A 22,264-nucleotide genomic window follows, 5' to 3' on the forward strand; every position below is an offset into this window, starting at 1 on the left:
TGGTGAAACATGGGAGAAGAGGGAGGAAAAATCTGTTAATTAGAATTGTGGGCGTGCACTCTGTTTATCTCTAACAGAATAGGCTTCCCACGGCTCTGAGCTGGAAAGGAAGATTCAAGTCTCAGGTTAAAAAACAAACCCTCCAAGACCTCAGGGCTGTTTGCCTGTGATTAGAGTCTAAGAAAGACTGAGAATTGGAAATCAGGACTGTCTCTGGTCACTGATGGTTCAACTACAGCACAGATGCACTGGGTAACAGACACACCGCCAGGCCTCAGGATTACGTTACCTAGGGTTAGGACTGAGCCTTTCTTCCACCTTCTTGGGGTTGGAGGGCAGGAATTTAACATATCTTAGATCACAGAGTAAGGCCTCTTCTACCCATAAGTTTGGTTTATACATCAAAGTAACATTCTAAAATTAGATGAGGGTGTTTTTTTTTTTTTTCTTTTTGAGACAGGGTCTCACTCTGTTGCCCAGGCTGGAGTGCGATGGCACAATCTCAGCTGATTGTAACCTCCACCTCCCGGGTTCAAGCGATTCTCCTGCCTCAGCCTCTCTAGCAGCTGGGACTACAGGCGCCTGCCACCATGCCCGGCTAACTTTTGTATTTTTAGTAGAGAAGGGGTATCGCCATGTTGGCCAGGCTGGTCTCGAACTCCTGACCTCAGGTGATCTGCCTGCCTTGGCCTCCCAAAGTGCTGGGGTTACAGATGTGAGCCACTGTGCCCGGCCTTAGATGAGGTTTGTAGATGTGTTTTTCATATTCCCAAAGCCATGAAATTTGACAGGTAAATATATCAGTTATAAAAGTTTTAGGATTAATTATCAACTAACTCCCAGAAGTTGCCTCAGCCTCTCTTTTTCAGCCTTGTCTTGCCCCAGCCCAGAGACAAGCCACAGCTATAGGTTTTATTTCTGAAGGAGAAAACTCAGTGGACCATTCCACTGCCTCAGGAGATATTGCCTACCTGCAGACATGTTTTGTCTTATCCACACATGATGTAAAAACAAAATAAAAATGCTGAGAGAAATGCCAATTCAGAGGTTTCATATAAAAATATAGCTTTCCCATTAGACTTGAAAATTGGAAGAGGAGGTAACAATTGGCCAGTGCTGAGTAGAGGGCATGTGGTCTCTACTTTGCCACAATCTCCACCATACCTTATTGTCTCCCTTCTCAGTCGAAGCAGCTTTACACACTCCTGCTACTTGCCAAGACACTGTACACATTTAAGTTTGCTACCTGTTACTTGGCATATCTCTTGGTTCCTAAGAGTTTTAGGTATTATGCAATTTGCCAGCTCCCTCAGCCCCTTTCCTGGCTCCAAACCTTTGGCTTTGGTTTGATGTTACTGGGTTGCTGCAGGAAATTTCCCTGTGGACCTCACTACTTTATCAACTGTAATGGTCTTGTTGAAGACAAGGCTTAGAACATCATCAGACCCAGAGCCTTTCTCAGAGGACCTGGGAGAACTCTCCATATGGATTTTCATTTGGGAAGATAGATGCTCTTATTGGAACAGCTGGTTTTCCCTTTAAAACAGGGAGTCCAGCAGCTTCTAGGATGCTTAGAATCAGAATTGTTGCTCACTTTTTAAGGTATAGAGTATTTGTCTTATTCTTAACTACATTTTATATCTTTGCCCTTTTTTCCCCTACTTTAAATAAAATCTATCTCTAATTTATGTTACTTAAGCAATGACAAATTCTTTTTCTGATAGACAAAGTAAAGTATAAATAAATAAGACATCCAAGTAATAATCAGAAGTATTTTTTATGTTGGTCTCATTGTGGTCTTTTTAATCCCAGGCCTGATGCGCTTTAGGTACCAGCCTTGGTTGAAGAGGAGCTTGAACAGCCTACACAGACATGAAACTTGAGCAACTGAGCTCATGGACGTTGCTTTTAATCAGGATCCAGAACTAGGGAGTTGAGTGAGCTTGGATTTGAGCTCCACTTTTCAAATTTTCACCACCTGTGCTCTTTCGTTTTTGTTTTTTGTTTTTGTTTGTTGGTTGGTTTTTTGTTTTTTTGAGATGGTGTTTCGCTCTCGTTGCCCAGTCTGGAGTGCAATGGCACAATCTCGGCTCACTGCAACCTCCACCTCCCGGTTTCAAGCGATTCTCATGCCTCAGACTCCTGAGTAGCTGGGATTACAGGCATGCGCCACCATGCCCAGCTAATTGTGTATTTTTAGTAGAGACGGGATTTCTGCATGTTGGTCAGGCTGGCCTCAAACTCCCGACCTGAGATGATTCACTTGGCCTTGGCCTCCCAAAGTGCTGGGATTACAGGTGTGAGCCACCGTGCCCGGCCAGACCCGTGCTCTTTCTCCCACCACTGCCCTGTGCCAACCACCACCCCCACTCCTATTCTGGAAAGAGCCAAGCCGTCAGCTATTGCTTTTGAATCTATACGCAATTCTAGCAGCTTCTTTTAGAGCCCTTTTAAATTAGCATGAAATAGTTTTACTAGCCCTGAGGTTTCAGCCAAGGAGCTTTAAAGGAGCCAGCCCTTTGTTTACTTATTTTTCCTCTTCTGAACATTTGGAAACATAGCTTCGGTGCTCCTTCTCCAAGAAACCTGAGTCATGACCTCCCCAAAGTGTTTCCTTCCCGTGGCCTCTTCTCCCGATCAGCTGTTTGTTATCTGAGGGATTCGTTAATAACCAGGACATCTGATTCTCATCATTACTCATCCTCTGCTCACTCTCCTTTCTAATGCATAGGCCTTTAGCCTTTTACTTTCTACCTTTTTGAATGCTATACTTTTTTGTAAAATTTTAATTAGGTTAATGCATTGACATTGTTCAACATTCAAACGATGGAAAGGGTGAGTGTGGAGGTTTGGTTTCCCCACTTTTTCCAGCCATGCTGTTGCCTTCTGCAGAGGCTTCTAGAATTTTCAGATGAATGAGAATCCTTTCAGAAATAGTCTCTGCAAACTCCAGCACACCCATAGTGCTAGGGTGGGTCTTAGTAAAATGTCTGCAGGGTAAGCACACTGTTTTGCACTCCACACAATTCACTTCACAATATTTCATAGAGACTTTTTCATATTAATATATAAAGAGATATATACGCGTGCTGCTTCACGATAATCCATTGCAGAGCTGGTCTGTAATTTATTCAAGCATTCTTTGTTGATGGATGTTAGGGTTGTATCCATTATTTTGCTATTATGAACAACACCATAATGGGCAACCTTGTACACATTTCCTGTCAACATGTATCACTGAATGGAAAGGATCTATTCCTAGAAAGGATCCATTCCTAGAAGAGGAATTCTGTACAATATGGCCAACTTTCTCTCTGTTGAGGTTGAACCATTTGACACATTTCGCTAGCATTGGGAAAATCCCCATTTTCCTCACTATCCATTTTTCTTCCTCTCTTTCCTTCCTCTTTTCCCTTCTTCCTCTTTTTTTTTCTTTTCTTTCCTTCCCTTTTTCCTTTTCTTTCCTTCTTTCCTTGCCATTTAAAACATACTGATAACTTGGCAGCACAGGGCAGTGATTAAACTCAGGCACTCACCCCACCCTACCTGGGAATCTGAATTCTGTCTTTTCTGCTGCTGTGGATTCTCAGTCCCCAAGTTGTGTAAATCAAAGCTTCTCCTGCCACACTAGTGTGTATTAGGCCAGGACTTCATAGTGTGATTCAAATCACCAACTGAATTTTTTTTTCCTTTCCTTCCCCTTTCTGGGGGACTACGTTTTTCATGGAGACCGGGGCCCTCCAGCTGCTGTGATGATCCTCCCTTGCCAGGGAGGTGCTGTTAATAGCAAATGCCAAGTGAGCTGGTGTTCTGTCCCTCCGGCCTCCTTGCTCACAATAGCCAGGAGGAAAAAGCCATGTAACCTCTGGATGAGTCCCTTGGCCATTTAGAAGTGAAATGAACATCCAAGAAGAAGCATAGACAATGTGGAGGAAGAACTCTTCCAAATGATGGCAGGGATATTTGGAATCTTTCCCCCTGAGTTCCCTCTGGAAGTTAAAGCCCAGATCCCGTGAACTGATTAAAAAGCCCCAGACCATTCCCGTTCCAGTCATCTTGAAACTGAGCAAGACCGTGTCATCCATGGAGCTTGAACATAGGAGCACTTTAAAAAAAAAAAGAATGAAAAGCCCCTTTCTTGTTTTGGTAATGATTTAATGACAGAAAGTCACCCACCCACCACTTGGGTACCACGCAGCCCACATTAAACAATTAGCCCTTGACAGTGGATAGTTCAAGTTAGTTTGAAATGAGAAATTGCCGGTGACCTGAAACCCATCATTATTAACCTTGTGGCACAACATTGCCATAACCAGTAGCCAACTCTCATTTTTTCTTTTTCTTTTTTTTGGTTGGAAGAAAGGCTCATTGAGGAAAGTTGGCTCAGTTCTTTTTTGAGTGAAGTGGTCAGACCACCAAGAATTACTTTCCTTTGATTGGGAACAGGTTCTAATACAGATGTCCTTTACATGGGCAATCCACTTTTCTCATTGATTCCACAATCAATTCGAGCTGTGTTTATATATAGACACCTGCCCACAGAGACCATGTGGAGAAGCATTTGCGTCTCGCTGCCTGTCTTCCAAAGGATTTGCCTTCTAGTAATTCATGTTTTTATAGCTTAACTACATTTATAGTGAACGGGTGGCTTCTTCATCCAAAGAAAGAACAAATGACAAAAAGAAAAATTTTGATGATTTGGGAACCGCATTTATGGAATAATAACATTCATGATACCTCTGGATAATGACAATAATTACAGTATACGATTCTAGAAGGGTGAGTCTAGCTGTTCCCAGTGTGTTTCCATGGGTTGTTATGTGTTACTGGTCAGGCGATCAGGGATTTGCTGAAGATTTTCTTTCCCATGTGGCAGTAGATATTTCAGAACCCTGCATCATGGTGTCCACAGAAGTCCCCAGAGTTGTATGAGAGTTCATCTGGGCACCTTTCCCAAAGGCAGGCCCCCTGTGCAGCTTCAACTATTCACTCTATTTATAATGTTGTTCCTGGATATTGGGCTTGCTTCCACTTGTGGCCAGGAGAGGATATTTCTTACTCCAGATCAAAGAGTTGAGACATTGCCTTCCCACAATTCCCAGTGAGCCCAACTCCTTACCACAATTCCCACCCCATGCCTTCCCCAAATTCCTGATGAGCCCTATGCCTTCCCACAATTCCCTGTGAATTTTGCTCCTTCCCACAACCCCAGTGAGCCCCACTCTGTCCCATAATTCCCTGTAAATCTCACTCCTTCCCACAATCCCCACTGAGTCCCATTCCTTCCCACAATTCCCTGTAAATCTCACTCCTTCCCACAATCCCCACTGAGCCCCACTCCTTCCCACAATTCCCAGTGAACCCCACTTGTGTAGTGTGTCTGTGAGTAGTCTGCCCACTCTCCTTATGACAGGTTTCCAGTATTATCTGTTTCATAACCCATTTCCAACCTTCTGGGTTTTTTCCTTCAACGTTTCCTGTGACAGTTCTCCATTATATCTTTGTTAGATAATAGTTAGCAACCCATTAATAACTTCCAACTTTTTGAGCCTCTACCATATCTTGTTTTCACTGGGATTTCTACACCGTGGCTACTTTGTGGGACCTGACTTATCAAGAACTTAAGCAGCATCTGTTAGAAAAGGTATTTTTTTTATGAAGTAAGTAGGGAACTAACTACCTGTTCACTGCTGCCCGTTCATTGCTAGCACAATGCCAAGTGTCAAATAAATGTTTCTTGAACAAGTGAATAGAGTACGCTTCTAGGCTTCTGGAAACGGTGAATGTTGCTTTATGTGGCAAAAAGGGACTTTGGAGATGTGATCAAGTTCAGGATCTTGAAATGGGGAGATGAACCTGAATTACCGAAGTGGGCCCTAAGTACAATTATAAGTGTTCTTATGAGAGGGAGGCAGAGGGGACTGTGACTACGAAAGAGGAGGAAACAGGGAGAAGAGGTGAAGCAGGTGTGAGGCAACAATCTGGTGGCTTCTAGCCCCTGAAAGAGGTGAGAAATGGATTATCATTTGGAGGATTCAGAAGGAACCAGCTGTGCTGACACCTTGATTTTTTTAACCCAGTGAGGTTGATTTTGGGCTTTTGACGTCCAGAATGATAAGAGAATAAATGTGTTGTTTTAAGACCTAAGATCATGGTTATTTGTTAGAGCAGTGATCAGAAACTCATACAAGTATGAATGCTAAGAGTAAAGGCACCTGCCTCCCACATACTGGACCCTTAATATTCCTTTTCATGGGAGGTTTTGCAGATTGCTGCCCTCCTTGCTCTCCTTACTCTTCTCCTTTTACTGAAAAGATATTTACTAGATGTCTAGCATGTTAAAGACTGTACCTTAAAAAAAAATCACACTCTAATTTAGCACAGTTTCAATTGTGGTTAAGCACCATGCCATTCACACTTCAGAACCAAGCTCAGATCCATGTGTGACACTCTGGAATGTGGCAGCTGATGGAGGAAGGGGGCTGAAGTTGAATCTGCAGTAGTTGAGTTAACCTTCCCATGGTGCCTGCACTAGCAGGGACTGGACTGAGACCCCAGCTTTCCCAGTCAGGCCTTCATTTTTCTCTCATGGTGAGAGCTTTGGAAATAGGCAGTGCAGTGTGGGAGTCCTTCCCCTAGCATGTTAGTGGCCAGCACCATGCCACACAGCCACCCAGAGCTGCAAGAGAGTCTGCAGAGGTGATTGCCCCTTGCTAGGTGAGTGTAAACCAAAAATAAATTCTAAGCTCCCCAAGCAACTGAATGGATCCCTGCCTCTGGGCCAAGGGGATTCCGAAATAAACCTGAAAAACTAGTTCAGGCAGTGATGGGAAGAGGGGGTTGGATATGACTCATTATACCCTTCTTTTTTTGGAATTCAGTCACAACTGAACAGCATTAGCATTAAAACAGATCCTAAGGCTGACAAAACAGACTCTTTATAGCAATAAGATACCAAATTTCAACCCTACTCTAGTATAGGATCACTTTGCAGATAGCAGGCATGGAAAGAAATCAAATTATTTTACCCCAAAATATATTTCTCTGGTATATTTCGAAATGGCCCTGCAAAGCTGTTTCTTGTCTACATTCTGTAGAGAACATCCTTCCCTTTCCAGGTCTTTTCCTGATCCAGGAGAGATTCACTAGGAGTCTGGCACCTTTTTAGTTTTGATAAGAGATATTTACCATTTATTCTCTCTGAGGCCTATTTCCTGGAGGCTTCATCTGCATCATAAGAACCTTGGTCTTTTTGTGGACTTATCTTAACCCAGATAGTCCTTTCTACTGATGCCAGGTGTTTAGCTAATAACACTTTTAACCAATTGCCAATCAGAAGATCCTTGAATCTACCTGATACGGTTTGGCCGCATCGCCACCCAAAATCAGACAGTCCTATCTGTTGATCTCGGGTGTTTAGCTAATAACTCCTTTAACCAATTTCCAATCACAGAATGCTTGAATCCATGTGATATGGTTTGGCTACATCCCCACCCAAAATCAGTCCTTTCTATTGATCTCAGGTGTTTAGTTAATAACTCTTGTAACCAATTACCAATCTGAAAATCCTTGAATCCACCTGATATGGTTTGGCTGCATCCCCACCCCAAATCTCATCTTGAATTGTAATCCCCACAATCCCGACATGTCAAGGGAGAGACCAGGTGGATGTAATTGAATCATATACTCCCGATAGTGAGTTCTCACGTGATCCGATGGTTATAAATAAGTGTTTGGTAGTTTCTCTGCGTTCATTCTGCTTCCTGCCGCTTTGTGAACCTGGTGCTTTGCTTCCACTCTGCCCTGATTATAAGTTTCTTGAGGCCTCCCCAGCCATGCTGAACTGTGAGTAAATTAAACATCTTGCCTTTATAAATTACCCAGTTTCAGGCAGTTCTTGGTAGCAATGTGAGAATGGGCTAATATACCACGTATGACTTGGAAGCCCTCATCCCCATCACTTTGAGTTGTCCTTCCTTTATGGACCAAACCAATGTACTCCTTACATATATTGATAGAAGTGTGCCTGTAACTTTTTTCCCCTAAAGTGTATAAAATCAAGGTGTAACCCAGCCACCTTGGGCACACGTTCCCAGGACCCCTTGAGACTGTCTTAGGCTTTGTTCACTCTTGTTTGGGTCGGGAATAAACTTCTTTAAATATTTTAGAGTTTCACTCTTTCAATCAACGTACGTGACTACCCAGAATTAAACTGGAATGCTGTTAATAAGAGAAATGAAAGGATGATGGGAGATGTGCACCCAGCAGTGTCTGTCTTGTGGTCCTGAAGTCTAACTCTAATCCTGGCTCCACTACCTGGACCATGACAGGTTGTTTAATTGTTCTAGTTAGAGTGTTCTCCTATGTAAATAGGGATAATAATTGGATGTATGGCAGGATTTGGGGGAGGATTAAATTAGGTTATATGCGTGAAGTTCGTAGAGCCAGGGTCTGGGCATTAATACGCATTTAGTTACTGTCGCTCCTGTGATCTGCACAATTATTGTCATTATCTTCCCTTCCTCCTCCTTCCCCCTCCTTCCCCCTCTCTTTTTCCTTTTCTTTCTATCATCATCCATAGCTCTCTTGCCCCATTGTTTTAAACCCATCTGTTTTTGTTGCTGGTAACTGTATCCAAAAGTAATACAGAATTTTCCGTAAGAACATTTATTGTGTTTCCTTCTACCCACGAATTTTCTTATGCTACACACACAACCCACTGAAATTTCACCTCTATTGTATGTGGCTTTTCTAGAAACGTGTGCTTCTGGGCTTTGTCTCACACCTCCTGGCCAGTGTTTGGCATGTGCTCACACATGCACGCACACACAGCCTGCACTATGTTTGTTGACTGAATGAATTAATATTTCACAGAATAACAAACACATGCTGATTATACTCCTTGGGAAGCTAATTTGTTTTCAGCTCTGAGAGCAAGGCCAAATCACCAGATTGATGCCTTTGGCTGTGTATCTAAAGGACGTGCCATTGCAGCTAAGTGGACCTGAATGTACAGTAAGACTTAGTGGTCACCAGAATGCATGCCACCCCGGTGCTTCTGCATGCAAAGGGTGCGGGCCATGTGCCAGTCACAGTGGAAAAGGCATGCTTCGTGTCAGCACATTTGGCATCTCTCTGGGATCGGGGATTTATACCCCAAAACCTTGCTCTAGAGATTTGGCTTCCATTAGCAAGGGTAAGGCTTGTAAGAAAGGAGTTTTACTCACCTTTGCTTGCTCTCACAGCTGTGTCAGCCCATTTTCATCTCTTTTCAATGTTTTAAGCCCTGAGAGAACCCAGTTCAATTCCCAGCAAGAAATGAGCCTCTGTAACGCAGCCCCAGACCCACCTTCGAGGGTAGGGGCACCCTTGTTGTCACGATGTACAGGAGCCAGGCTTGGCATCGGAGTGGATGCTTGGGAAGCCCCAGAGAAATAGACGAGTGAGTGCAAGAGCCAGCTGCCTGCGTGGCTTAGAGGAAGATTTCAAACACCTAGTGCACTGAAAGTCTGACTTAATTTGTGATTTGTGAATAGTCTCCCAGAAGCTATGGGGTACAGATGTGGGACTTGTGAAAAATACCAGACATCCTGTGGGTTAAAGAAAAAGAAAGGGGGGCGGTGGGTGAAGTGTGAGCAATTTCTGGCAGCTTTGTGGGCATTTATTATGTCTAGGTGGCACAGTGTGGTTGGACTGGTTGGTTTCCTATCAGTTGCATTCCCTGTATGTCTTCAGCCAATTTTTTTGGTAATCCAAGGCCTGATGTATATAAACAAATTCCTTTCTTGATCATCTAAGCAATGAACACTTAACAGAGTCAAGCTTGGAGAATTCAGTTCCTACCACAAGGTCCGGAATGGAGGATTTATAACTGGGAGACAGAAGGTATGCTGAAAGGTACTCAAACTGTCACTTCCTTCACCCCCAGGAGCACTGAAGCAGACACTGATTCCTCTGCAGTTGTTGGGCTTTTGAGCTACTTCCCTCCTGGGGAGATGCGTGTTAACTGTTTAATGACTGGCAATGCCGTAACAGTGAGCAAGCAATGTGACCTTACAAATACATGTGCAGAAATGCAGATGAGTGGGCCTAAAGAATCCAGACTCAACTTACTTCTAGTGGTAATGGCTGTAGGAGAGATGGGGAGTAGGAGAAGAAAAGCCAAAGGCAGACTTTAGTCTGGTTTATAATGCTTTAATATTTTTTTGAAGGAAGAAAAATGTTCATTACTTAACGTAATAATTATTTTTAAAAAGCAGCCTGGCGGGGGGGTATTCATTTTTCTGTGGCTGCCATAACAAAGTTCTTCAAACTTAGTGTCTTGAGACAAGACATTTATTTTCTTAAAGTTCTGGAGGTCAGAGGTCTGACACAGGCCTCCCTGGGCTAAAATCCAGGTGTCTTCAGAGCTGTGTTCTTTTGGATACTGTAGAGGAGAATACATTTCCTGGCCTTTTCCACGTTACAGAGACTGCCCATGTTCCTCGATCCATGGCTCCTTTTCGGTCACCTTCCAGCCAGCAACATTGGGCTGACTCCTTCAATGGCCATGTCTCTGGTTCTTTGTCTTTTGCCTCCTCCTCTTACTTTTAAGGACCCTTGTGATTTCATTGGTCTCAGCTGGATAGCTATCAAGGGTCACTTTAAGGTCAGCTGACTAGCAAACCTAATTCTATCTGCAACCTTAATTCATATAACCTGGCGTAGTCTCGATTTTATTTTAATTTTTTAATTGAATTCAGCTTTACAGTATCTTTTGTAGGGGGTAATTTTAGCTTCTTTCTCCGTTGAAAACTTCAAGTAAGGAAACACTTATATTGCTAGTGAGTGGCCAGCTGGAGTTGTAGGTCTAATTCTTTTTTTTTTTTTAAGACGGAGTTGTGCTCTTGTCACCTAGGCTGGAGTGCAATGGCATGATTTCTGCTCACTGCAACCTCCACCTCCTGTGTTCAAGCAGTTCTGCCTCAGCCTCCTGAGTAGCTGGGATTACAGGTGCCTGCCACCATGCCCAGCTAACTTTTGAATTTTTAGTAGAGATGGGGTTTCACCACGTTGGCTAGGCTGGTGTCGAACTCCTGACCTGAGGTGATCCACCTACCTTGGCCTCCCAAAGTGCTGAGATTACAGGCATGAGCCACTGTGCCTGGCTGGTTGTAGGCCTAATTCTAGCAATCTCAGCAACTGTAGGATTTCTCTGCATTGGAGGAAGCAAGACTGAAGGTCGTCTGGCTTTATGGACAATGTGCTTAGAAGTTCATGCCATACCTTAGGTCCAGTCTTGTGACTGAACCAACCAGACAGGCCTAGGCTCTGCCCTAAGTGGTCAGCCTCCGAGGTGGTAGCACGCAGGGCCTCACTTCCCACTGCCTCTGTCTATGGGCATGTGCTGTGTGCCATTCTCTCCCCTTATCAGTGGGTTCCCAGCTGCCTGGTGTACAGGAGGGTTAAGTAGATACCTGTTGAGTGATTGTGAATGTTTTCATTCACGGGGGCAGATTTGTGTCCTACTAACACCAGACATGTCCTGTTTTCAGATTACTTCTTTTTCAACATCTGAGTACCTATAACATCTAAAGAATAACAGGAAAATCCACCTGGGTGGCCAAAGTCAATGTAATGGGCAGAAAGGGCATGTGGTAGACTTGGAAATCAGACATCTTAGACTCCAACACAGGGCTCTTCCACTTGCTAGCCATGGAACCTCAGACTGGGATCCTTGACTTCCTTATCTATAAAATATGGCTTATAACTCACCCTGTATTATAGATCTGCTGGGAACATGATAGAACGTCTGAACAGTGCTGGCTTATAGCAAGTGTTCAGAGATGTGTTTCGTTGTTTTTCTTTTTTCTTTTTTTGAGATGGAGTTTCACTCTTGTTGCCCAGGCTGGAGTACAGTGGTACGATCTTAGCTCACCACAAGCTCTGCCTCCCGTTTAAAGCAATTCTCCTGCCTTGGCCCCTGGAGTAGCTGAGATTACAGGCATGTGCCACCACACCCAGCTAATTTTTGTGTTTTTAGTAGAGACGGGGTTTCTCCATGTTGGTCAGGCTGGCCTCAAACTCCTGACCTCAGGTGATCTGCCTGCCTTGGCCTCCCAAGGTGTTGGGATTACGGGCATGAGCCACTGCGTCAGGCCTATTGTTTTTCCTACGTACCGTGATTGCTTGCTTTCTTCTCTGTCGATGTCCCTGCCATCTAAATGCTGAGTCCCCTTGTCTACATTTTGAGGCTCTTCTATTATGGAAGAGGGCTAGAGAGGCCATCAGAATTTGGTTTCACTAGCCTTTGATCCTTCCTGTTTAAGGAGCTCAGCATTTAGCTTCACTTCCCTGTCATTCATCAGAATTCATTCTCAGATTGGAATTGTCCAGTCTTAGAGTGATTTTTGTCCCCAGTGACACTTCCCTTATATCCGTGCTGACACAGGTTCAGGAGACCAGGTCGAGTCGAAATCCTGGCTGTTCCGCTTTCTAACAAGCTGCTTCATCTTTCTGTGCCTCACACATCTATAAAATGGAGCTGGGCATCTGTCTCCTTCAGTTATGGTGAGAATTAAAATAAAAAACACAAAGCACTTCTAAGAAAGTACAGGAGAGGCCGGGCACGATGGCTGACGCCTGGAATCCCAGCACTTTGGGAGGCAGAGGCTGGCAGATCACGAGGTCAGGAGATGGAGACCATCCTGGCTAACACAGTGAAACCCCGTCTCTACTAAAAATACAAAAAAAATTAGCCAGGCATGGTGGTGGGCCTGTAGTCTCAGCTACTCGGGAGGCTGAGGCAGGAGAATGGTGTGAACCCAGGACGCAGAGGTTGCAGTGAGCCGAGATCGAGCCACTGCACTCCAGCCTGAGCAACAGAGTGAGACTCTGTCTCAAAAAAAAAAAAAAAAAAGTACAGGACATACGTAGGACCCCTGAACATTTATCCCCCTGCTGCCAGTACGTTACAGCAACCACCAAGTCCACCTCTATCAGGATGGTGCCAATTTGTGGGGTTTTTTTTTTTTTTTGAGTCGGAGTTTTGCTCTTGTCGCCCAGGCTGGAGTGTAATGGCGTGATACTGGCTCACTGCAACCTCTACCTCCTGGGTTCAAGCGATTCTTCTGCCTCAGCCCCCTGAGTAGCTGGGACTACAGGCACACCCCACCCTGCAGGGGTTTTTTTTTTTTGTTTTTTTTTTTTTTTTTTTTCTGTATTTTCAGTAGAGACAGGGTTTCTTCATGTTGGCCTGGTTGGTCTCAATGTCCTGACCTTAGGCAAGCCACCCGCCTTGGCCTCCCAAAGTGCTGGGATTACAGGCATGAGCCATCACGCCTGGTGAATGGTGTCATTTTGATGTACTGAGCCATCTCAGTTTTTCCAGCAACCTTCCCTCACCTTTGTGGTCAGCTAGAAGGTCAGTTAACACATGGGATGGGAATTCTTGCCAATGTCCTTCGTAAAAGAAGAACTTCTCCTTCACTCACATGTCCTGATACTTCCTCAGCATTTCATTCTAGCCTTTCTGTCTCCATCCACCATCTATCAATCATCTATCATCTAGCTATCTATCGATTTCTCTTTTTTGGCTTTAATTTTGTCACTTTTTCTTCTGTCTGCTATAGAAATAGCAAATTTTCTTATGTAAGAAAACTCTGAACGCGAGGCCAAAGTAGAATTTTCCCTGAAACAGCTACCTTTTCCTTGAAATTGTTCTATATCTAAAATCACTAGGTGAGGAGTAATAGAAATGTAGACATGAGAAGTGAAACTGTTTTTTTTCCTTGTAAAAGCTTCATTGTGCCCTTTAGAGGATAACTCTGTAGTTTGATATGATAAAAATAATTATATGATTATGCTGAGTGAGGTGGCTCAAGCCTGTAATCCCAGCACTTGGGGAGGCCAAGGCCGGCGGATCACTTGAGGTTAGGAGTTCGAGACCAGCCCGGCCAACATGGTGAGACCCCCATCTCTGCTACAGATATAAAAATTGGCTGGGCATGGTGGGGTGCAGCTGTAATCCCAGCTGCTCAGGAGGCTGAGGCAGGCGAATCGCTTGAACCCGGGAAGCAGAGGTTGTAGTGAGCTGAGATCATGCCACTGTACTCCAGCCTGGGTGACAGAGCAAGACTGTCTCAAAAAAGAATAAAAATGAATAAAAATTATGTGATTAGAGAGGGGAAAACAATCATTTCTTGTGCGCTAATGCCACTCAGCAGGTGCTTACACTGTCTGGTTCATCCTTACAATGACTCCATGTTATCGCCATTTTCAGATGGGTAACTCAGGTAGAAATATGATTCCATTAGTTTAAAAAAAAATACATAGAAGATAAGAAAAATCACCAAAAATTCCCAGCCACAGTAGATGTATCTGTATTTAACTACTCTCCTCGTGTTGAATATTTATCAGGTTTCTCGTTTTCTTTTGTTTTTGTTGTAAGTGGCACTGCAGGCCAGTTGCGGTCACTCAAACCTGTAATCCCAGCACTTTGGGAGGCTGAGGTGGGCGGATCACTTGAGGTCAGGAGTTTAAGATTAGCCTGGCCCACATGGTGAAACCCTGTCTCTACTGAAAATAAAAAAAAAATCAGGCATGTTAGCATGCACCTGTGGTCCCAGCTACTTGGGAGGCTGGGTCAGGAGAATCGCCTTGAACCTGGGAGGTGGAGGTTGCATTCAGTCGAGACCATGCTAGTGTACTCCAGTCTGGGCAACAGAGCCACATCTCCAAAAAGGTGGCACTGCAGCAAACAGCATCCACATGTGTGCACAGAATATTGTTCTGTTGTGTACCTCAGATGGCTTTGTTAGGTTAGATTCCCTGAAGTGGAATGGCCAGGGAATTTAAAAAGGGTTTTGCTCTTGTCACCTGGGCTGGGGTGCAATGGCGTGATCTTGGCTCACTGCAACCTCCGACCCCCCTGGGTTCAAGCGATTCTCCTGCCTCAGGCTCCTGAGTAGCTGGGATTACAGGTGCCTGCCACTATGCCTGGGTAATTTTGGTATTTTTAATAGAGATGTGGTTTTGCGGTGTTGGCCAGGCTGTTCTAAAACTCCTGGCCTCAGGTGTTCTGCCCGTCTCGGCCTCCCAAAGTGCTGGGATTATAGGCCTGAGCCACGGTGCCTGGCCAAGTCTGTTTTTTAAATCTGGAAAATGGGACTTGTTAACTTCTGTATTGTCTTTTCTGCTGCTTTATCCAACTTTGCAATCTATAAGCTTCTGTTACTGGAAAATGGTGATGGTAAAGTAATTGCTTTCTTATGTTCCATCACAGAGGGTAGACTGCTAGCTCTAGTATTTTTCAATGCTGCTTTTTAAGTGATAGATGTATACCATTCAGTACCAACCCTGCACCCTGGGACATGCCTCCTTGCTGAAACTACCATTTATCTTTGTGAATTCATTATTCGTTTTTCCAACAAACTTTTATTGAACATCTAATAAGACCTGGACATTTGGCTGAATGCTGGAAGTGCAAAGATGAAGGAAAGTTGCTTTTTGGAAGGATATTAGAATCCAAAGGTGAAGCCTGCACAGTAAGTAGGCCAGTGGTGGGATAAGGGATCCATTGGCCCAGGAAATTGGAGGGACTTGGAGAAGGACCATCTCACCCGTCCAAAGAATGGAGGAGTAAGGGAAGGCTTCTGGAAAGAAGTTGTGTTGAGGCTGTGTTTGGAAAGGTGAATAGGAGTTAGGCCAGTGAGGAATGGGGTGAACAACTGCAGGAACTTGAGTGATACTTTGGGGTGAATTCTCTCTCTCTCTCTGTCTGTCTCTCTCTGTCTCTGTTTCTGTCTCTCTCACTCACATTTTAGGTAAAGCAGTGTTTCTTCCCCAGGGGTGATTGTGTTTGTTACAGTGTGATGGAGACTGGATACTGCATCTAGCAGATAGATGCTGTCAATCATCCTACAATGTGCAGGACCGTGCCCACACAAAGAATGACCCGTCCCCAAATGTCAACAGTATTCAGGCTGAGAAACCATGTACTAAGGCACAGGACAAGCATCGGGTTGGATAATGGCAGAGAAAAGTACCTTACCTCCTTCCAGAACCTGAGAGTGTGTGACTGTGAGTGTGTGTGTGTGTGCACACACTTGCGTAAAGTGAGAAAAATCTGGTGTTTTTTCGAAGTCTGCCTCGTTTAGGCTCTGGACTCCTGCTCTCTGTTGACTCTGTCCAGAGAGTAAGCGACTCAGCAGGTGTGCCTCCCCATGGGCCCCCTTCACGGTGTCCTCACCTTGATTTATTAGAGCATTTTATTCCCCCAACAGTGTTTATGACATCCAAGGACTTGGTGGAACCATGAGGAAATGAGAGTGGACAGTGAGACTACTATCATTCATTTTCACTCCCCGTAAACATCTTCTGTTTCTGTTTTAGAAGACATTGCTAATCCCCTCATGCACTGGCTTTGCGAATTTCTTTTTCAGCCTGGGTTTGAAAGCAAAGTGGTAGTGACTTTTTCCTGATAGCTGCTGAAAAGGTTCCACAGTATTTGGACCGCTGCCTGCTTCTACCCTGGAGCACAAAAGATCCAGGCGTAGAAATTGGTTCTAACAATATCCTTTTAGAGAACACCAAGGGGATGTGAGTCACTTTCCCTTTGATTTAAAGGCACTGCGTCCCTCAAATTCAGAGTTAGAGGGTGACATGTAGTTGATCTTTACTTCCCGGGGGCAGAGGACCATAATTAAATGGCTGTGGAAACCCAGAAGCAGCCTACAGAAACTCTTAGGAGCCCTCCGTCTGGGAGGAATTTTTTTTTTTTTTTTTGGTATATCTGTGTTTACAGTTCTAGAAAAGTGTTGGTTTTGAGGGCAATGGAGACAGGAATGAGGAGAAAATGTATAAAGGAGAGGTTGCTGTGAGCCGAGATTGCGTCACTGCACTTCAGCCTGGGCGACAAGAGCGCAATTCTGTCAAAAATAATATTATTCTGTTGTTTCCTAATTGTTGATTTGTGGTCCATATATTTGGTTCCTTAACTAAATTGGAGTTCTTAAAACAAATGTTAAGAACACAACATTTAGGCACACAGTACTTGGATTCCAGTAGCTTTGGATAAATTAATAAAATCCTTCCATTTTCTCAGTTGTAGAATGGGAATAGTACCCACCTTATAGGCTTGCTGTGGGGAGTAAGTGGGATAATAAATGTTAAGTGCTTTTAGCTGTACTGTACATACATAATTTCTGTAAGTACTGGCTATTTTAAAAATTATTTTAACACTATTCTGATATAGGAAGTTAAAAAATAGCACAGAGGGGATCCCTGTGATTTTTACTCACTTTTCTACAAGCATGACTCCTTATATAACTACAGTACAGGATCCAAACCAGGAAACATGCCTGGGTACAATGTGAGTGTATAATTCCAGGTAGGTAAAATAATGGCCCTTATTAGGATGTCTGCGTCCTAATCCGCGGAAACTATGGATATGCTTTGTTACATGGAAGAGGAAAATTAAGATTGCAGATGAAATTCAAGTTACTGATCCTGCGAAGTTAAAATCAGGAGATTACCCAGGGTTATCTGGTTGGGCACAGTGTAATTGCCAGGATTCCTAAAAGGGGGAGAGAGAGTCGGATGAGTCAGGCAGTGAGATGGCAGCATGAGAAGGACACCGCCACACATTGCTGGCTTTGAAAATGGAGGGAGGCGGGCATGAGCCACAGAAAGTAGGCAGCCTCTAGAAGGTGGAAAAGGCAATGAGATGGATTCTACCGTAGAGCTACCAGAAGGGAACACACCTTGCTGATGTCGTTTTACTATTTTCTTATTTATTTTTGAGACAGGGTTTTGCTCTCGCCCAAGCTGGAGTGCAGTGGCGCTATCATGGCTCACTGCGATCCTCCCACCTCAACCTCCTAAGTAGCTGGGACTACAGTGTGTACCATCACGCCCGGCTAACTTTTTTGTATTTTTAGTAGAGGTGGGGTTTCATCATGTTGCCCAGGCTGGTCTCAAACCCCTGGGCTCAAGCGGTCCTCCCTCCTTGGCCTCCCAATCTGCTGAGATTACAGGACCCTGCTGATGTCTTAATCTTAGCCCCTTCAGATCCCAGTTGGTCTTCTGACTCCAGAGCTATAAAAGAATAAATGTGTGTTATTTCAAGCCGTGAATTTCTTATTAATGTGTCACATAGCAATGGAAAAATAAACGTTCTATGCCATTTTTATCACATGCGTAGGTTCATTTAACCACCGCCACTACTAAAATACAGGACTGTTCCATCTGCACCGAGGTCTCTCTGTGCTACCCCTTGAAGTCACACTTGCCACCCTCCGCCCTTAGCCTTTCTTTCAGCCTGTGAGGAAGCAAAACTTTTACTCTTCAGGCATCACCTCACGCGTCTTTTCTGCCTGGGAGGCACTTTTTCCAGTTTTCCTGGCGAAATAGTCATCTTTTAAGTTCTCTGACAACCCCTCTCTGAGCATCTAATCCCAATCAGAATTCCCTCCTAATGTAAACTCTCATTATATCTTTTAACTTTATTTCTTAGCACTTATCATGCTGTATGGATAATGGTATATTTGGGTGAGAGTATTTGTTTCTCTTTCTCCCTAAGTAGGCTGGAAACTGCATGAGGGCAAAAACTTAGCTTTACTCAATGTTTTCTCAGCTTCATGTACGTGACTGTATACAGAGTCTGAGCCGAGAAAACCTTCCTTGCATGTACGAGCAAATGAGAGTATTCAAGGTACAGAACTGAAATTTTCTCTGGGTTTTTAAGTGGAAGAGTACACAAGCATTATAAGCAATTTTACCTGCATTTACTCAACAGACTTTTGTTTTTTATCCCCTTCGGTGTAGGTTGTCATACTAAATTGGTTCAGATTCTGTATCTGGGGGTAGTTAGACTTCTGTGAACTCCAAGTAGACGGTTGAACATGACTGAACTTGCACAGTGGACACATTGTGCATTTGTTTTTAAGTCCCTAGCTGTTTCCAGAAATAGTTTGGTTAATTCATACTGATAAAATAAATCCCCGTAAGAGCATTATTCCCCAAAGTGGGCTTCCTTTGCCAAACCTAATTATCTGGAGAAGGTATTGAAGAAGTCAACTTACCTCTTGGCCAAATGCTTTCTAGAATTATTCAACCAAAGACAGCAGGCTGCACCTAGGGGAAGCCAAACATCTGGATGAAGAATGAAATATCCAGATGTTTTCAAGTATCTGGATGTTTCTAACCATCTGTTTCTCTTGGTTATTGACAAATGATCCAGCTGTTTTGCAGAAGATGGTATACCTTGCCTAACAGAAGAGAGAAGTAACATTCTTAGAAAACTTTGACATCATCTCATCTGTACTAACACAGGATTTCTGTCTTTAATTGAAGCCATGACTTGATCACAAAAATGAAAATAGCTTCATGTGTTTCTGAAGCTGTTGTCTTGCTTTGGGCGCCAGACTGCACAGGATTTTAGGTTAATTGTCTTGTTTACAATTAGAGTCTGCATTGTTTGTAGCTTGATTCTATTTATAATGTACTCACACCTTAACCAATAGCCTCACAGATGGCATATGAGAATACTCATACTCAGTGCTGCTAAAAACAGCCTGCTGCCTGAACACCAGAGTGTCTTTTAAAGCGTAGAAAAGTTGGGTACATAAAATTTCTGTTGCAAAAAGGAATGTATAGGCCTTAATTGAAAATGTATCTTTCTGGAACAGGAGTTTTAGAAGCTGAGTACCACCCACTCCCTTGCTCCACAATTCTCTTTTGTTTAAGGCAACACGTAGGTTCTTAGTTTTTTAAATATATATATATACGTATATATATACGTATATATATGCGTATATATATACGTATATATGCGTATATATATACGTATATATGCGTATATATATACGTATATATGCGTATATATATACGTATATATACGTATATATATATGTGTGTATATATATATATAAAAATATATTTAAATAATGTTAAGGCTAGAGTAGAATGACATCATGGGAAGGCTTATTGAAACTTGGAGTGGATTCGTAGTCTGCCACGAGAATCCTTGTCTGATGTTTGTGGGTGTGTAGGACTGAATTTGAAGTCCTTAAATGGATGTCCTAACAGTGAATAAAGACGTGGGGCTTGAATTTATGTATTATCTTATTACTCTGTCATTTTCTTGAGTGGTACACCAGAGTGCATGGAAAAGTAAATGATTGGAAGCCGCGTGGTAGTTAAGGGTGATGATGTAGGAGTGAGAACACAGGCTTGGTGCCTGGCGTCAGCACACACATCACAGGCCCTCCCTGTCAGTGGCTGTCGTCTGTTAGTGTTTCCAGCACAGCTCTAAAGAGCGACGCTTGGAGGCTGGGGAGAGGGGGATGGAGAGGCATATGATTCTGTTGACATTTAGTGACATGCGCTCTTCCCAACCAAACAGATGCAAATGGATTTTAGTTGTGAGTGGTTGTTTAACACCTGCATAAGTGACAGACCTGCAGAGACAGGTTGTGGATGGAACGCAAATTCAAATCAGTGCATGAGAACAGCAGCTAAAGTGGACAGACCCAAATGTTTTGCCTAAATATTTGGCTCCTAGTTGTACAAAAAGCCAAATGGTTTCAATTTCATCCTATATAAACCAGATGATTGTGTATTTACTTCTCACTTGCCCTGCCAGGGGGATGGTTGGTGGGGGGAAGACAAGGACAAACAATTCGAAAGAGCAAATGAGCCAAAATCCATCTGGATTTTGTTAATGCTGATTATATAGTTTCTTCTGTTGTTTTTAATGTCTTCCAAGCCTTCTGTGTATTAGCCAGCATTAAGGGGAAAAAATGACATTTTGACTTTGACTCCCTTTGTAATGTAATGCATTGTTATGTATTTCTGAAGTTTTTCTTAAGGAAATAGTATATGATAATAATGACTAGCACTCACTGAGTGTTCGTGATCGCCAGGATCAGGCCAAAGGTTTTCACGCTTGTGCCTTTTTAAACTTCTCAACAACCCAGTGAGATAGATGTTATTAGCCCAATTTAAGGATGGGGAAAGTGGGGATTCACAGATGAAGTAACTTGCCCCTAGCATCGTACAGTCAGTGAGTGTGAGAGGTACAATTCAAACCCAGGTAGACCTGAATTAAATCTTCTGAAGCAACTCTTCATCACCAGGTGTGGCTACCTCCAATGATTACTTTGTTTTTATGATTATCAACAAAGTTACTCTGTGGAGCAGGGGCAGGCAAACATTTTCTGTAAGGGAGAGACAGTATTTTATGCTTTGCAGTACAGTCTTTTGCAACTGTTCCACTTTGTCACCACAGCACAGGAGCAGCCATGGACGCTACGTAAGAAAATGAGTATGGGAGTGTTTCAATTAAAATTATGTATGGACATGGAAACTTGAACTTTTTATGATTTTCATGATCACAACTTACTCTGATCTCTTTCAACCATTTAAAAATATGAAAACCATTCTTAGTTTACAAGCCCTACAAACACTGGCATTGGGTTAGGTTTGGATGATGGGCCATTGCACTCCAGCCTGGGTGACAGAATGAGACTCTGTCTCAAAAAGAAGAAAATAAAACAGGCGTTCCTTACCTACAGCCTGCTATGATTTGGGGTTCTTGTATTTTTTTTTGTTTGTTTGTTTGAGACGGAGTCTTGCTCTGTTGCCCAGGCTGGAGTACAGTGGCACGATCTCAGCTCACTACATCTCTGCCTCCCGGGTTCACGCCATTCTCCTGCCTCAGCCTCCTGAGTAGGTGGGACTACAGGCCCCCGCCACCATGCCCGGCTAATTTTTTTATTTTTAGTAGAAACGGGGTTTCACCATGTTAGCCAGGATGGTCTCGATCTCCTGACCTCATGATCTGTCAGCCTCAGCCTCCTAAAGTGCTGGGATTACAGGCGTGAGCCACTGCGCCCGGCCGGGGATCTTGTATTAATAGTAGGGAGACAGTAAGCAAGCAAGGCTCAGTTAATGATAAATTGTTATCAGGAGACCCAGCAGTTTCTGCTTTTTCTACCCTCCTCTTTGAGCTCTATTTAAACTAATAGGTTACTGGGTTTGAACATGCCATGCAGTGGGAAGAGGCGGGAACCCCACTGAGCTGTCCTCTAAGTGAATCATGCCCACTATTTGGTTGTGAGGCTGTGGACTTTACTTTTCACGCATGGCATTGAAAGAACAGGGAAGGGTGGATTCCCCATCTCCTCTTCCTCTTTGGAATCAGGAAAACATGTTTCTATTCTAAATGTTCTTTGATAAATAAGATTGCATGTTCCTGGCTCCTGTAACATATATTTTCTTTTTC

At 43.5% G+C, this 22,264-nt stretch overlaps 1 protein-coding gene across 2 annotated transcripts in view, besides 5 other annotated features; it reads left to right on the forward strand.

Moving 5' to 3' along the window:
* The window catches only part of WWOX (WW domain containing oxidoreductase), a 1,113,014-nt gene that overhangs the window by 201,872 nt on the left and 888,878 nt on the right, over nt 1-22,264 (forward strand). The gene's annotated exons all lie outside the window — the stretch shown is intronic.
* Nucleotides 1,754-2,254: an enhancer, noted in NCBI's record as "H3K4me1 hESC enhancer chr16:78337176-78337676 (GRCh37/hg19 assembly coordinates)". NCBI's record gives its function as "activates a minimal SCP1, AML or CMV promoter by ChIP-STARR-seq in naive H9 embryonic stem cells {active_cell/tissue: H9 hESC(naive)}" and the evidence as "EXISTENCE:reporter gene assay evidence [ECO:0000049][PMID:30033119]".
* Nucleotides 2,255-2,755: an enhancer, noted in NCBI's record as "H3K4me1 hESC enhancer chr16:78337677-78338177 (GRCh37/hg19 assembly coordinates)". NCBI's record gives its function as "activates a minimal SCP1, AML or CMV promoter by ChIP-STARR-seq in naive H9 embryonic stem cells {active_cell/tissue: H9 hESC(naive)}" and the evidence as "EXISTENCE:reporter gene assay evidence [ECO:0000049][PMID:30033119]".
* Nucleotides 9,642-10,222: an enhancer, noted in NCBI's record as "OCT4-NANOG hESC enhancer chr16:78345064-78345644 (GRCh37/hg19 assembly coordinates)". NCBI's record gives its function as "activates a minimal SCP1, AML or CMV promoter by ChIP-STARR-seq in naive H9 embryonic stem cells {active_cell/tissue: H9 hESC(naive)}" and the evidence as "EXISTENCE:reporter gene assay evidence [ECO:0000049][PMID:30033119]".
* Nucleotides 11,953-12,454: an enhancer, noted in NCBI's record as "NANOG hESC enhancer chr16:78347375-78347876 (GRCh37/hg19 assembly coordinates)". NCBI's record gives its function as "activates a minimal SCP1, AML or CMV promoter by ChIP-STARR-seq in naive H9 embryonic stem cells {active_cell/tissue: H9 hESC(naive)}" and the evidence as "EXISTENCE:reporter gene assay evidence [ECO:0000049][PMID:30033119]".
* Nucleotides 20,949-21,118: an enhancer, noted in NCBI's record as "experimental_46172 CRE fragment used in MPRA reporter constructs". NCBI's record gives its function as "activates a minimal promoter by MPRAs in K562 erythroleukemia cells, with activity observed for both the introgressed and non-introgressed 16:78356456 variant alleles {active_cell/tissue: K562}" and the evidence as "EXISTENCE:reporter gene assay evidence [ECO:0000049][PMID:34662402]".

The sequence above is a fragment of the Homo sapiens genome, chromosome 16, assembly GCF_000001405.40.
Source record: "Homo sapiens chromosome 16, GRCh38.p14 Primary Assembly".
NCBI lineage: Eukaryota > Metazoa > Chordata > Mammalia > Primates > Hominidae > Homo > Homo sapiens.